We start from the raw sequence: 13520 nt of genomic DNA, 5'->3' as shown, positions 1-13520 counted from the left end.
TATCTCATGTACCCCTTAAATATATACACCTAAATTGTAACCACAAAATTTAAAAATTAAAATTAAAAAATGGCAAATAAGTATGTGGGACAGAGAAGTAAATAATTGCTTTAACTCATTTTATCTTCCCAACCTATTTTTTAATCTCCATTCTCATTGCCTTTAATTTGATTCAGGCTCTAAGCATTTGGTCTATTCCAGCTATCTTCAGACTAGTCTGTTAACCTTCAGACTGGTCTCGTACATTCTCTAGACTTTTCAGACCAATCTCCTCATTGAGACAGTGAGACAGTATCTTTCTAAACTTGATTCACTCTTACCTTGCTTAGCAAAAGCAATTTCTGTTGTTGGTTCAAGTGAATAATGGCATTCTCTGGGAAATACTTGTGGGCCACTTTTGTGGGACTGAATCAGACAAGCTCTAATCCCTAATCCAGCAAGTTCTTAACTTTTTATAAAGTAATGAGTTCTACTTGAAGTATTTGATAGCAAAAACAAAATGCTAATTTTGAGAGTTAACCATGTGTCGTTTACTTTATCTTTCTCATTGAGAACTTTAGGATCCTTAGTTTTATGTCCAAGTTCCTTATATAATTGTTCTTTTTGTTCATAGTTGTGTATACTGAGGCAATTTTATCTGTATGTTAGCTGTAAACCCAGACTGGCATTGACCATTTGCATAGAGATCCAGGGTTATTGATTATGACTTTTTTGGCCTTTCCATGATCTGCAGAATTAGGAAGTTTTCTACTTACTGAAAAAAAATAAATAGTTGGGCAATGTATTTTACCTATCTTAAAAAAAAGAGAGGCAAATTAATTTTTATATATTCATAAATGGGGAATGCATTTAAGGGGAAAGAAGACACTTAGTCACAGAATGCAGACCTTTGGGCTATGACAAGCTCAAAGTTACAATGACAAGCAAAGACTCTAGAACTGTTCAATGTGTAGTTGGAACTAAAAAACAAAGGCACTGAATAGCATCTGTGAAAGCCTATAGGATATGAGGCATTGCTAAGTAGATATAATGCAGACATACTGATAAAGTTGAAGATTCAGTTTCTGTCCAAAGGTTAACTGTTGGTATAAACACAATAAAAGAAATATGAAGGGGGCAGCAGCATCCAGTTGTATAAAGCTCAGATAATGTTTTACAGTAAGATGATATTTGAATGGGTATTGAAGAATTAACAAGAATTTATAAGGTAAAAAAGTAGAAGCCATTCTAGGTGTGTCAAATGGTATTAGTGCTATAAAAACACCTAACACTTTCCAGTGAGTTGTAAGCAAACTGGACCAGAGCAAAAGTTCCAATATAGAAGTACTCCAAAGAGATTCCCTTATACAAGACTGTTATACAAGACATTGAATACAAGAATAAGAAGTTTACCTGGTGCCTAAATATCTCTGGAGGCTTTGAAAAAGAGGTGATCAGAATCGTACTTCGAAGAGATTAACTTGAACAATGATGGAAGTGTTCTGTAGGGGTGAGTGAAAAGAATAAAGAACAAGCAGTTTTTTTGAATGGTAATAAGAAACTAAAGATGATTTCTGGCAGTCCCTGAGGTAGTTCTTCTCAATTTCCCAGTAAAAAAACAAACAAACAACAACAATAAAAAAAACCTATAAAGGCACAAAGTCTACTTAGAGACAAAATCTGCCAGCATAGAAGTAGATATATGCCTCAACCCTCCCCCACAGTCTGCCCCTAGGGTAGAGATAAAAGGTATATATACAAGATTATTAATCAGTCAGCTCTTTGCCTTAAAAAGCATTACCTATCAGTACTATGTCCCTCTTGGCCCTCTCATCAGTATCTCTTTCCACAAATATTCAAAAGCTGTAACTCCAAGAAAACGATAGGACAGGAAATGGAAGTGTTGGAACCCAATTACACAACTGTAATCTCAGCATTTTCCACCAGCTGGGTTTTTCACCTCTCTTGCCTACAGTGTTTTGATAGAAGTGATATTTCCCTGAATATAAAAAGGCCCAGAACCATGCAGTGAAGGTAGAATGAGACATTTCCTATCACTACTGAACTGAGGTAAAGACAAAATTTTGAAACACTAACAATTGGATAGGGAGCTATGAAGGTTGCTTCACTTCCAGCTGTAGATCTGACATGCGGATTTGAGTGAGGCTCAGTATAATACACCCAACACATTTAAATGCATCTTTAGTCAAGAAAGTTCTCATATTGGTTTTCTTCCGTCTAGCCACTGAGAAGCATACACAGAAAAGACATATCATTATAAGCCTAAGAGAAATAAACTTCCTAAAAATTACTTTCTACAAAACTTAGAAAAGTATTTTAGAAAAAAATGCTTGTCATCTCCGCTGAAATGCATGAAAATATGGTCCCCAAGGAATGGGAACAGAAAGTTATGAGAAATACATCAAGTGAAATGAGAAAAAGAATTGAGAGAAAAACTTAAAATGCAGTAGAGTAATTTGAATCTACATTAGGAGAAAAGACTATCATTCATGCTGAAGATAATAGAATCAGTGATATAGAAGACACACTTGATAAGTTCTCCCTGAATGCAGCAGTAATGAGTCAAAGTAAAATGTCAAAGTGAGGTGAGAAATTAGGTATTCATCTTATATTTTCCACTTCTGTAATTACAGATCTTCAGGAATAATAGCACAATAACAGCAATAGCAAAATAAATAAATGAATAAAATTTTCCTAAGATAAAAAACTTCATATGGGATTAAAAATTTTCTCTAAGGGCCAAGTAAAATTAGAAGACTAATGTTTATATATATGCTAGCAAGATTTTAAACTGCAAAATCTTGGACAATTGTGGGACAAAAGGAAAATATAATTTAAATGCTGGTTGCATCTACTTCTTACTGGTAGATAATTCAACCTAAATTTGAGAATTTTTTGGTGATGGGTAGTGAAATTGCTTAATTAATTTTTTGTTTTATCTGGGAAATGACCTCGATAGGCTTCTCTGAGTCCATTTCAAAGTCACACATATATGGGATAAACTCCAGACACAAGATAATTGAATAGAGAATTATTTCTGATAAATTCACCCAAAAAAAACATTCCCAGAGGTAATATAGAATGTGAAAGAGAGGTAGAAACATTCAAGAAACCCCAACATATGTCTAACAGAATTTCTAGGATATGAGAAGAGAAACGATATTCAAATATAAGGCTAGAAGGAGAAGAACAAAGTTGGAGATCAGAAACTTCTAAATGTCAAGATATACTATAAAGCTACAGTAATCAAGACAAGATGATACTGATGAAAGAAAAACAGATTAACAAAATAAAGAGCCCAGAAATAGACTGACATAAATATTGTCAACTGATCTTTAACAAAGGAGCAAAGGCAATACAATGGAGGAAAGATAGCCTTTTCAACAAATGGTGCTGGAACAAATGAACATCTACATGCCAAAAAAAAAAAAAAAAAAAAAAAAAAACCCTGAATCTAGACACAATTTTACACTCGTTATTTAAAAAATCAACTGAAAATCGATCACAGATCTAAATGTGAAATGCAGAACTATAAAACTTCTACAAGAAAACAGGAGAAAATCTATATTACCTTGGGTTTGGAAATGGCTTTTCAGATATACCAGCAAAAGCATAATCCTTGAAAGAATAGATAAGGTGGACTTCATTAAATTTTTAAATTTTAGCTCTGTAAAAGACATTGTCGAGAGAATAAAAAGACAAGCCACAGACTAGAAGAAAATATTTGCAAAGGACATATCTGCTACAGTACTATTATCCAAAATATACAAAGAACTCTTAAAACTCAACAGTAAGAAAACAAACAACCTGATTAAAAAATGGACCTATCAGAGTGAACAGGCAACCTACAGAGTGGGAGAAAATTTTTGCAATCTACCTATCCAACAAAGACCTAATATCCAGAATCTACAAGGAACTCCAACAAATTTACAGAAAAAAAAAAGCAAACAACCCCATTTAAAAGTGGACAAAGGACATGAACAGACACTTCTCAAAAGACATTCATATGAAAAAAAAGTTAAAAACGTGAAACATGAAAAAAAAAAGCTCAACATCACTGACCATTAGAGAAATGCAAATCAAAACCACAATGAGATACCAATGAGGGTCCCACACCAATTGCATCAGAAGCCCAAGCATGAAGCAAGAGATTCACAGCGCAGTTGGGAAGAGGTGATGTTGGTGCAAAGCAGATCAGAGTCAGTGTGAAATTGCTGGACGCAGACATTGCTGGAATCAGAAGTGAGGCAGAGATTATGTGAGACTTTGCATGATAGGGGTCTGTGCATTCTTGCGCATTTCTTAGCTCTGTGTGAGCAATATTTAAGTAGTCATTACATAAAATCTATTGAACCTATACAAAGAAGTGAACACACTGTGATGAGTTGGCTCCTACCAAGTAAGGCCTGGGGGTTGGTCCTTTATGGTTCCCCAGCACACATCTTAAAATAGTTCCTTTGTGGATAAACTCTCTTTGAATTATTCTATTTTGAGTGTGCCATCTGATTCTTGTTAGGACTCTGACTTTAAAAGGTAGAGCATTGCTCTCATGAAATAATGAAGAATATCCTTCACACATCATATTGACTCACAACTGTTCCTACAAAGAGTGTGTGGATCTGATTCAACTGCAACTTTGTTCATGCAGCAATACTCTTCCTTCTCATACTCATAACTAGTGTTCTGACAATACTAATCCCAGTGCACCTTTTTTCAACTTAGTTATCATTGAAAAGATTTCTCCTTGATACCACAGCCCACAAAATGAGTTTTTAGTGACAAGACAAAAAGCCTTACCTGGCATCTTCTTCATGTGCCACACATATGCTGAATTGGTGTTGTCCAGCTTTATAAAAGCACATTATCTGCAAGCACATAAGTGATGGTAACTGCTTTTCCTCATTGTATGCCATTGATAAGGCAATGCCCAAAATGTCTTTAATTTTAAAAAATGTGCCTATAGCTTGTCCTTTCACTATGAGCTTTATTTGTCAACTTCATGCGTGGTTTTACAAGTTTCTTAGCTCTAATGGGTATTCCACTTTTATTTTCTGTCACTATTATAACTTTGATTGATACTTGTGATGTTTTGATCTCTCTTCTGCCTTAGTAGCAATTAATCAATTTTGTACTGAAAGCATTGTTTTATGCTTTTCTTTAAAAAAAAAAAAGGCATTTGTTTGCTAGAAGAGTCATTGTTCTTTGCTTAGAAAAGCATGTAAAAGCTTTGAGTTTTATGAGAATTTCATAATACTGTACTGTAGCTCCATCCATTAAAATCAGTATTTGGATTCTTTCTCATCTTTCCTTGGTTTCCTATGGAAAATCATTGCACTAGCCAAATCACTTTTTTAAGTAGATGCTCATATTTTATATTTAATGTAGTACTATTTAGTATTTACATGCTCAGCATTATTTTAAGTTGTAGCATTTGTTCTTATTTTATCACTACTTCATTTTGCTTCAATTTCTTTATGAATTTTTAAAATTGTGAAATTGCAAACTTTAGTGAATTATATCTATAACAGTAAGGAGAAATTACCATTTGTTTTCACAGATAAGTACTGCATAATTGTGTCCTTAAATGCAGTCCACCTTAGCACATGTGCAATTTATTAGTTACTGTCACCTATGTTAATGATATGTATTTTATATTAATTTTTATAATTAATCATCTTATATGTAAAATTTGTGAAATGTATGAGATAACTAATTAAAAACACAAAACTTTCTCATAGACTACTTGAGGACACCAAGGAGCACCAATATTCTGCTGCCATACCAACAAACACTGCACTAGAAAAATAGGTTAGAAATAGGGTTCTGAAATTTTAATCCTAGCTTTTCCACTTACTAGCTGGGTAACCTTGGGCAAGTTACAACACCTCTAAACCTTAGATACTATTACGATCTCTATTCTACAGTTAAGAAGCTGACTTCATCGGATGCTATGTTATTGTTTTCTTTTTATTATTTTTTTGTTTTTACCCTTACAGTAATGCTTGGTACATATGCAATGTCTGTTTATGTGCCCATGTATGCACTACAAAATTGCATAATAGCCCAGCACCTCTTGACTTGTAAACCAGAGTAAACAACTGAAAAATCTCAGTGGTTTGACATAACAAAGTTTATTTCTTGCTAATGCCATATATGTCCAATGCAGATCAAAAGGTAGAATCTGCTCATCATTGTCACTCTGGAATATAGGTTGATGAAAAAAATTTCTCAATACTTTAGAATCAACATGGCAAGAGCATAAAAATATAGAAAATCATGGCTTGGCTCATAAAATTTGAGCCTGATCCTTCTCACATCCACACACATTTCACTAAGTAAAGCAAATCATGGCCATGCCTAATTTCAAAGTTTGAAGAGAAGTACAATTCTACCAAGTCCCAGAAAGAGAGCCAGAGTATCTATGAATCTTAAGGTAAATTGCTCAAATGACAATTGTGTATGGATAAAGAAAATGATAGTCAATAATGGAGAAATCGTTACATAAAGAGATTTGTCTCAATATATTTGACTTTTTTTCACTTTTCTGAATATCCAACATTTTCCATACAGATTATACCAATAGTATAGTCATAGTCATAAAAATAAAGTTACACTGCCATTAAATGAAGGTTTCTTTGCCTCAAGACTTGGCCTGAGTTGCCTTGAAAAGAGCCTGAGTGCAGGACATTAATTAGGGAGTATAATCCCAGGGAGTGGGATTTTAGGGAAAACGAATGAAATAAGAAAGTGGGAGTTTAGCCCATTCTCACATTGCTATAAAGAAATACCTGAGACTGGGTAATCTATTAATGTTTAATTTTTCATTGGCTCACAGTTCCACAGGCTGTAAAGAAAGCATGATGCTGGCTTTTGCTTCTGGGGAGGCTTCAGGAAGATTTTACTCAGAGCAGAAGGCAAAGCAAGAGCAGGCATCTTACATGGCCAGAGCATGACCAAGAGAGTGAGAAGAGTGGTGCTGTACACTTTTATACAACCAGATTTCATGATAACTCACTCACTCAACCATCAGGAGAATAATACTGAGGGGATGGTGCTAACTCATTCATGAGAACTCTTCCCCCATGACCCAATCAATTCCCACCAGGACCCACCACTAACATTGGGAATTACAATTCAGCATGAGATTTGGGCAGGCACAGATCCAAACCATGTAATTCTGCCCGTGGGCCATCCCAAATCTCAAGTCCTTCTACATTTTAAAATACAATCATGCCTTCCCAACAGTTCACCAGAGTCTTAACTCATTCTAGCATTAACTCAAAAGTCCAAGTCCAAAATCTCATCTGAAACAAGGCTAGTCCCTTCTGCTCATGTGCCTATAAAAAAAAAAAAAAAAAAAGGTTAGTTACTTCCAAGATACAATGAGAGTATAGGCATTGGGTAAATACTCCCATTCCAAAAGGGAGAAATCAGCCAAAAGAAAGAGGCTATAGGCCCCATCCAAGTCCAAAACCCAGCAGGGCAGTTATTAACTCCTACAGTTTCAAAATTACCTCCTTTGACTCCATGTCTCACATCCAGGGCACACTGATGCAAGGGGTGAACGCCCAATGCTTTGGGCAGCTCCACCACTGTGTCTTTTTAGGGTCCAGCCTCCTGTGGCTGCTCTCAAGGGCTGGTGTTGAGTTTTCTGTAGCATTTTCAGGCACAGGGTGCAAGCTGTCAGTGGATCTATCATTCTGGAGTCGGGGGGACAGTGGCCCTCTTCTCATAGCTCCACTAGGCAGTGCTCTACTGGGGACTCCGTGAGGTTTCTAACCTCACACTTCCCCACTGCACTGCCCTAGTAAAGGACCTCCATGAGGGCTGTGTCTCTATAGCAGGCTTATGCCTGGATATCCAGGCTTTTCTATATATCTTCTGAAATCTAGGCAGAGGCTCCCAAGCCTCAACTCCTGCATTCCGTACACCTGCAGGCTTAACACCACATGGAAGCCACCAAGGTTTATGGCTTACACCTTCTGAAGCAGCAGCCCAAACTGTAACTAGGCCCCCATTTAGCCACAGCTTGAGCTGGAGCTGCCAGGATGCAGGGAGCAGTGTCCCAAGGCTGCACAGGGCAGCAGGGCCCTGGGCCTGGCCCATGAAACCATTCAGTCCTCCTAGGCCTCCAGGCTTGTGATGGGAGCGGCTTCCCCAAAACCCTCCAAAATGCCTTCAAGGCCTTTTCCCCCTTGTCTCTGCTATTATCATTTGGTTCCTTTTTACTCATGCAAATTTCTGCAGCCTACTTGAATTCCTCTCCTGAAAATTGGGTTTTCTTTTCCACCATATATGTCCAGGCTGCAAATTTTCCTAACTTTTATGCTCTGCTTCCCGTTAAAATATAAGTTCTAATTTCAGGTTATTTCTTTGTTCATGCCTATGAGTTTAGACTGCTAGAAGCAGCCAGTTCATATCTTGCACACTTTGCTGCTTAGAAATTTCTCCTGCCAGATACCCTAAATCACTACTCTCAAGTTCAAAGTTCCACAGATCCTAGAGCAGGGCACAAGGCAGACAAGCTTTTCACTAAAGCATAACAAAAGTGACTGCTCCCATTTCCAATAAGTTCCTCATTTCCATCTGAGACCTCCTCAGCCTGGCCTTCACTGTCCATATCACTACCAGCATTTCAGTCATAACCATTCAACTAGTCTCTAAGAAGTTTCAAGATTTTCCTCCTATTCCTGTCTTCTTCTGAACCAACCATACCCATTACCCAGTTCCAAAGTTGCTTCCACATTTTCAGGTATCTTTATAGCAATGTCACACTCCTTGGTACCACTCATTGGTACCAATTTTCTGTCTTAGTCCATTGTCATACTGCTATAAAGAAATACTTGAGACTGGATAATTTATAATGAAAAGATGTGTAATTGGCTCATGGTTCCATGGGGTTTACAGGAAGCATGATGCTGGGTTCTGCTTCTGGGGAAGCCTCAGGGAAATTTTACTTATGGTGGAAGGCAAAGCAGGAATAGGCATCTTATATGGTGGAAGCAGGACCAAGAGAGCAAGGGTGGGAATCTATACACTTTTAAACAACCATGTCTCATAATTTACTCACTCACTGTCACAAGAACAGCACTGAGGGGTTCATGCTAACCAATTCCTGAGAACTCCACCTCCATTGTCCAATTACCTCCCACTAGACCCCACCTCCAACACTGGGGATTACAGTTCATATCAGTTGGGAAAAACAATACAAGAATATATTATCTAGCACTACAGGCAACTGGTGCTTGCACTCAGGCAACTTTCAGAACTATCCACTCAGTGGACAAAAAATATGGCATTTATCAATCAAGTCCTTTCTCCATTGCTCAAGGTAGCACCACAGACAAACTCTCCTGTACTTCTGATTTATTCTTGCAAGTGTGCACTTTTGGGAACGACAGCCACAGGCATCCCATGTAGTGGCATCAGGAGTCCTAGGATATGAAAAAAATTGAGATTCAGTGAAATCATATCGGCACAAAGCTGGCCTGTGTGGAACTAGACATTTCAGCAGTGACTGGGATAAAAGGAGACACCAATAAGTCATTAAATTGTGCACAAAAGGTGCCAAATAGAAACATACACACACACACACTTACATGCATGGGTAGTGGCATGGGAATAAGCTCACCTGTGGGCTTGTATTTTTACTTTTGTCTGATTCACATATTGAATGATCCCAGTAGATTATTGTTTTTGTTAAATGTATATGAAGTGTATATGAAATGTATATATGAAATATTTAAGATTTAAAAAATACAATGAAAGGCTATTTATCCAGAACAAGTGAAGCTGACCTTTCTGTATTAGTGATATTTCCAAAGTCTACCCCTTTTAGCCGAAAGGGCTTGGGGTACGTCTTCAGATCTGCTGGAGCCTGGCCAAGGATTTCTCAGATCTGCACTTCAATCTGAGGCTCTTCCTTCCTAAGCTACTTTTCTTACCTCTCTCCTTTTAAAAGTTTCAGACCCGTATTGCAGTCTGAAGACTTTACTCTCCTACTTCTGCTTCCCCTTCTCTTTATTCTCTACAGGTGTTTTCCCTAATAAATCTCTTCTACATATGAGGACCCAAACTGACACAAGCCCCAACATCTAGATGAATTCTCGTTTTTTTTTTCCTTCTACTATATAAATTAAATTATGTAGTATACACTTTCTCTATTGTAATTCAATGCATTGACATAATGGTTCTTATTTTAACATTTTGCATTTAATAATCAGCTTCAAAAATCCTGAAATCACAGTGATCACACTAGTAATGTACATTATTACCTGGACTTTTTTGTGTGGTAAAGATTAGGCTTCTGTCACTCCACTAATTTCTCATTTTTTACAGAGAGAGTACATTCCATATATTATAGTAACGAATCCATTTTAAGAAAGACTTATAAAAATTGAATGATCATTTGATCTGAGAGTGTTCTAAAAAACAAAGGTGACATTCACATTAAGTTAAAAGTGTTTATATCTAACTTTGTATGTAGAGTTAAAGATTATATATATTATATGTATAATATCTAAATAGTAAAGTGTGAAATTTTGTGATTGAAAGATTGAAAGAATGAGAAGTACAATAAATATTTCTCACTGTCATGTAAAATATAATAATATATAGATTCAAAGTGTTTGCTTAGAGCTATAAGAAAATGAAACATCCTAGAATATAATAAATGTTTCATCAGGAACAGTCCTTCCAAACCCATGAGACCTATACTGAGATGGACCCTGGTAAATAATCTCATGTTACTTAGCACTGATAGGTTCTCCATGAATAAAGTATGGATTAATCCAATAATCAATAGAATTCCATTGTGCACTGTAATTTTGTCCCCATCCATCTCCAGGTCTCATATATATATATGAATATATGGACCCTCTGTTTCCCCCTTTAAAAAAAAAAAATGAAAGCTAATCATTCCCAGGGTTCAGGAATGGATTTAGTAACATTTAATCAATCTAAAATCCCATCAGAAATGAACAAGCATATTTGATCAATACAAGTCTGGTTATAACTTACCAGACATTAAGTCCAGTTTTTAGAATAAAACAAGAATACTGATCTCAATTTCAAGAAACCATAATTTAACAACTGTCCCTTATTGAGTATTTACTGTGTCAGGCATTTTGCATATATTGTATCCCCTAACTCCCAGTGTAGGGTACAAAAAACTACATTCCTTCTCATCTAATTAAATATAACATTTACCATACTACATATACTCTGAAAAAATACATGTGTATATATGTGTATATATGTATATGTATATGTAAATATATGTATGTACATATGTAAATATATGTGTATATATGTATGTAAATATATGTGCATATATACACATACGTGTTTGTATATACACATATATGTGTGCATATATACACATATATGTATGCATATATACACATGTGTGTATGTGTGTATATATATTGTGTATATATATACACACATATAAACACACATACACACACAGGTATATGTATATATAGGTATATATGTATATATGTATACATAGGTATATATACACATACTTAGGTATATATAGGTATATATACGGGTACATATAGGTATATATACGGGTACGTATAGGTATATATACGCATATATAGATACATATACATATATATACGCGCCTCTATAGGTACAAATACGGGTACATATAGGTATATACGCGCCTATAGGTACATATACGTGTATATATAGGTATATATACATATATAGGTATTTATGTGTATATATAGGTATATATGTATAGGTATATATACACATATGTGTATATATATACACCTATATATAGGTATATATAGGTATATATAGGTATATATCTATATATACACACACACACACACACACACACACACACACACATATATATATATAAAAACCCAGAATAGCCAAACAATATTGCAAAAAGAAGAACAAAGCTGGAGGGCTGGCACTTCACAATTTCCAAACTTACAAAAAATCTACAATGATCAAGTAAGTTTAACTGGCATAAGATTAGACATATAGAAAAATATATCTGAATTGAGAGGCAAGAATTAAACTCTGATCAATTGATTTTCTACAAGGTGACAGACAATTCAGTGGGGGAAAGTAGAGTCTTTTTAACAAATGGTGCCAGAACAAATAGATAGATATCCCGATCCAAAAGAATAAATTTGGACCCCTATCTCACATCAGATTTTAAAAATTAATTAAAAATAGAACAGTTCAAGAAAGCTGACTAGAATCATCTGGCATTGTGTCCTCCACAAAGAACATAGTAGATAATCACACTTCAAATAGAGGATCTAAGAAATAACACTGGAATTCAACAGAGAAATGACAGGAAAAACCTAGGCATAAAAGGAGAGGAAAATGAGGCAGCCAGCCCAGCCAAGCTCATCTGGAGTCCTGTAGAGAATCCCCAGTGCAAGTAAAACATAAATGACAGATCCCCAACGGTCTACCTTCCCACTGCAGACTCCTACAATCCTAGCCACAGGAGAACCCTCGATGCTTGCAGGCCTTGAGACTACAATAGAGAGCTGCCATGAGTTTGCACAATGGCATTGCTTCAGAGAGGAAGCTCACACTGGGTCACACAACCCCCCCTCCAAGACCCAAGCAGCTGCAGTGTGGCACCACTTGAGGAGCCCAGCCCCCACCTTGCATCTTGCCCTGGAGCCCAACAGACTCTGCGCATCTCCCCATTCCTGGAGCCCCCACTGACACCTGCCTGTGTCCACCCAGAATACTGGAGTGACATGACACTGGTTAGACACAGCAGTACAGCCGGGTAGCCAACATAATGTCCTATACTCTGGGAAATAGGCAGTGCAGCGCACTAGGGAGGCTGCCCTCAGGACACAGGATGCTGAAGTGTGCGTTCACCAGAGCCTGAGAGCTACTTGCCTGAGGCCACTGCCACTGAGAGCAACCTTATTCCCCTAATCTCAGCAGCAAGGATGCAACACATGCCCTGAGGATAGGCTCTCCCCACACACCACTGCCCCAGTCGCTGCCACTTGAGCATGCCACCCAGGAGCCTGGGGATAGCCCTGCTCTGCCCACCATAGCCTGCATCTGTACATACCACTGGAGGACCTGAGGGCAGGCCTCCCCAGCCTGGTATTGCCACCATTACTGCCATCACTCACACCACACACACTGCCTAGGGGCCCGAGGACCTGCACACAAACCCCGCCCACTGCTGTCACTGCTGGCACCTAAGTAAGCCACTTGCAGGCCAAGGAATTGGCCTGATACCACTGACACTGGTACCCACATTCACTGCACAGAGGCCCAAGAACAGGCACACTTGGGCTTCCACTGCCACCACTGAGGCCTAAGGATTGTCCCATCTGGTGCCTGGGTTCCCAGCAAAGTCTCACCACAGTCTGTATTAACAACTTCAGCCTAAGCCACTAAGGAAATCACAAACACTACTGGTACTGTTTACAGTTGAAAAATCAGAGACTACACTACGGCATGCAGCCAGAATCAAAACCAAAGTACCCTACCCATCCAATGTTATAGAT

General features: G+C 37.3%; 1 annotated feature.

The window, feature by feature from the left end:
• Positions 12781–13075: a silencer, noted in NCBI's record as "tiled region #1940; K562 Repressive non-DNase unmatched - State 24:Quies". NCBI's record gives its function as "represses a minimal TATA promoter and a strong SV40 promoter by Sharpr-MPRA in K562 cells {active_cell/tissue: K562}" and the evidence as "EXISTENCE:reporter gene assay evidence [ECO:0000049][PMID:27701403]".

This window comes from Homo sapiens, chromosome 15 (genome assembly GCF_000001405.40).
Source record: "Homo sapiens chromosome 15, GRCh38.p14 Primary Assembly".
NCBI lineage: Eukaryota > Metazoa > Chordata > Mammalia > Primates > Hominidae > Homo > Homo sapiens.
The sequence above is the reverse complement of the archived record's forward strand: the minus strand, read 5'-3'. Positions and strand labels throughout refer to the sequence as shown.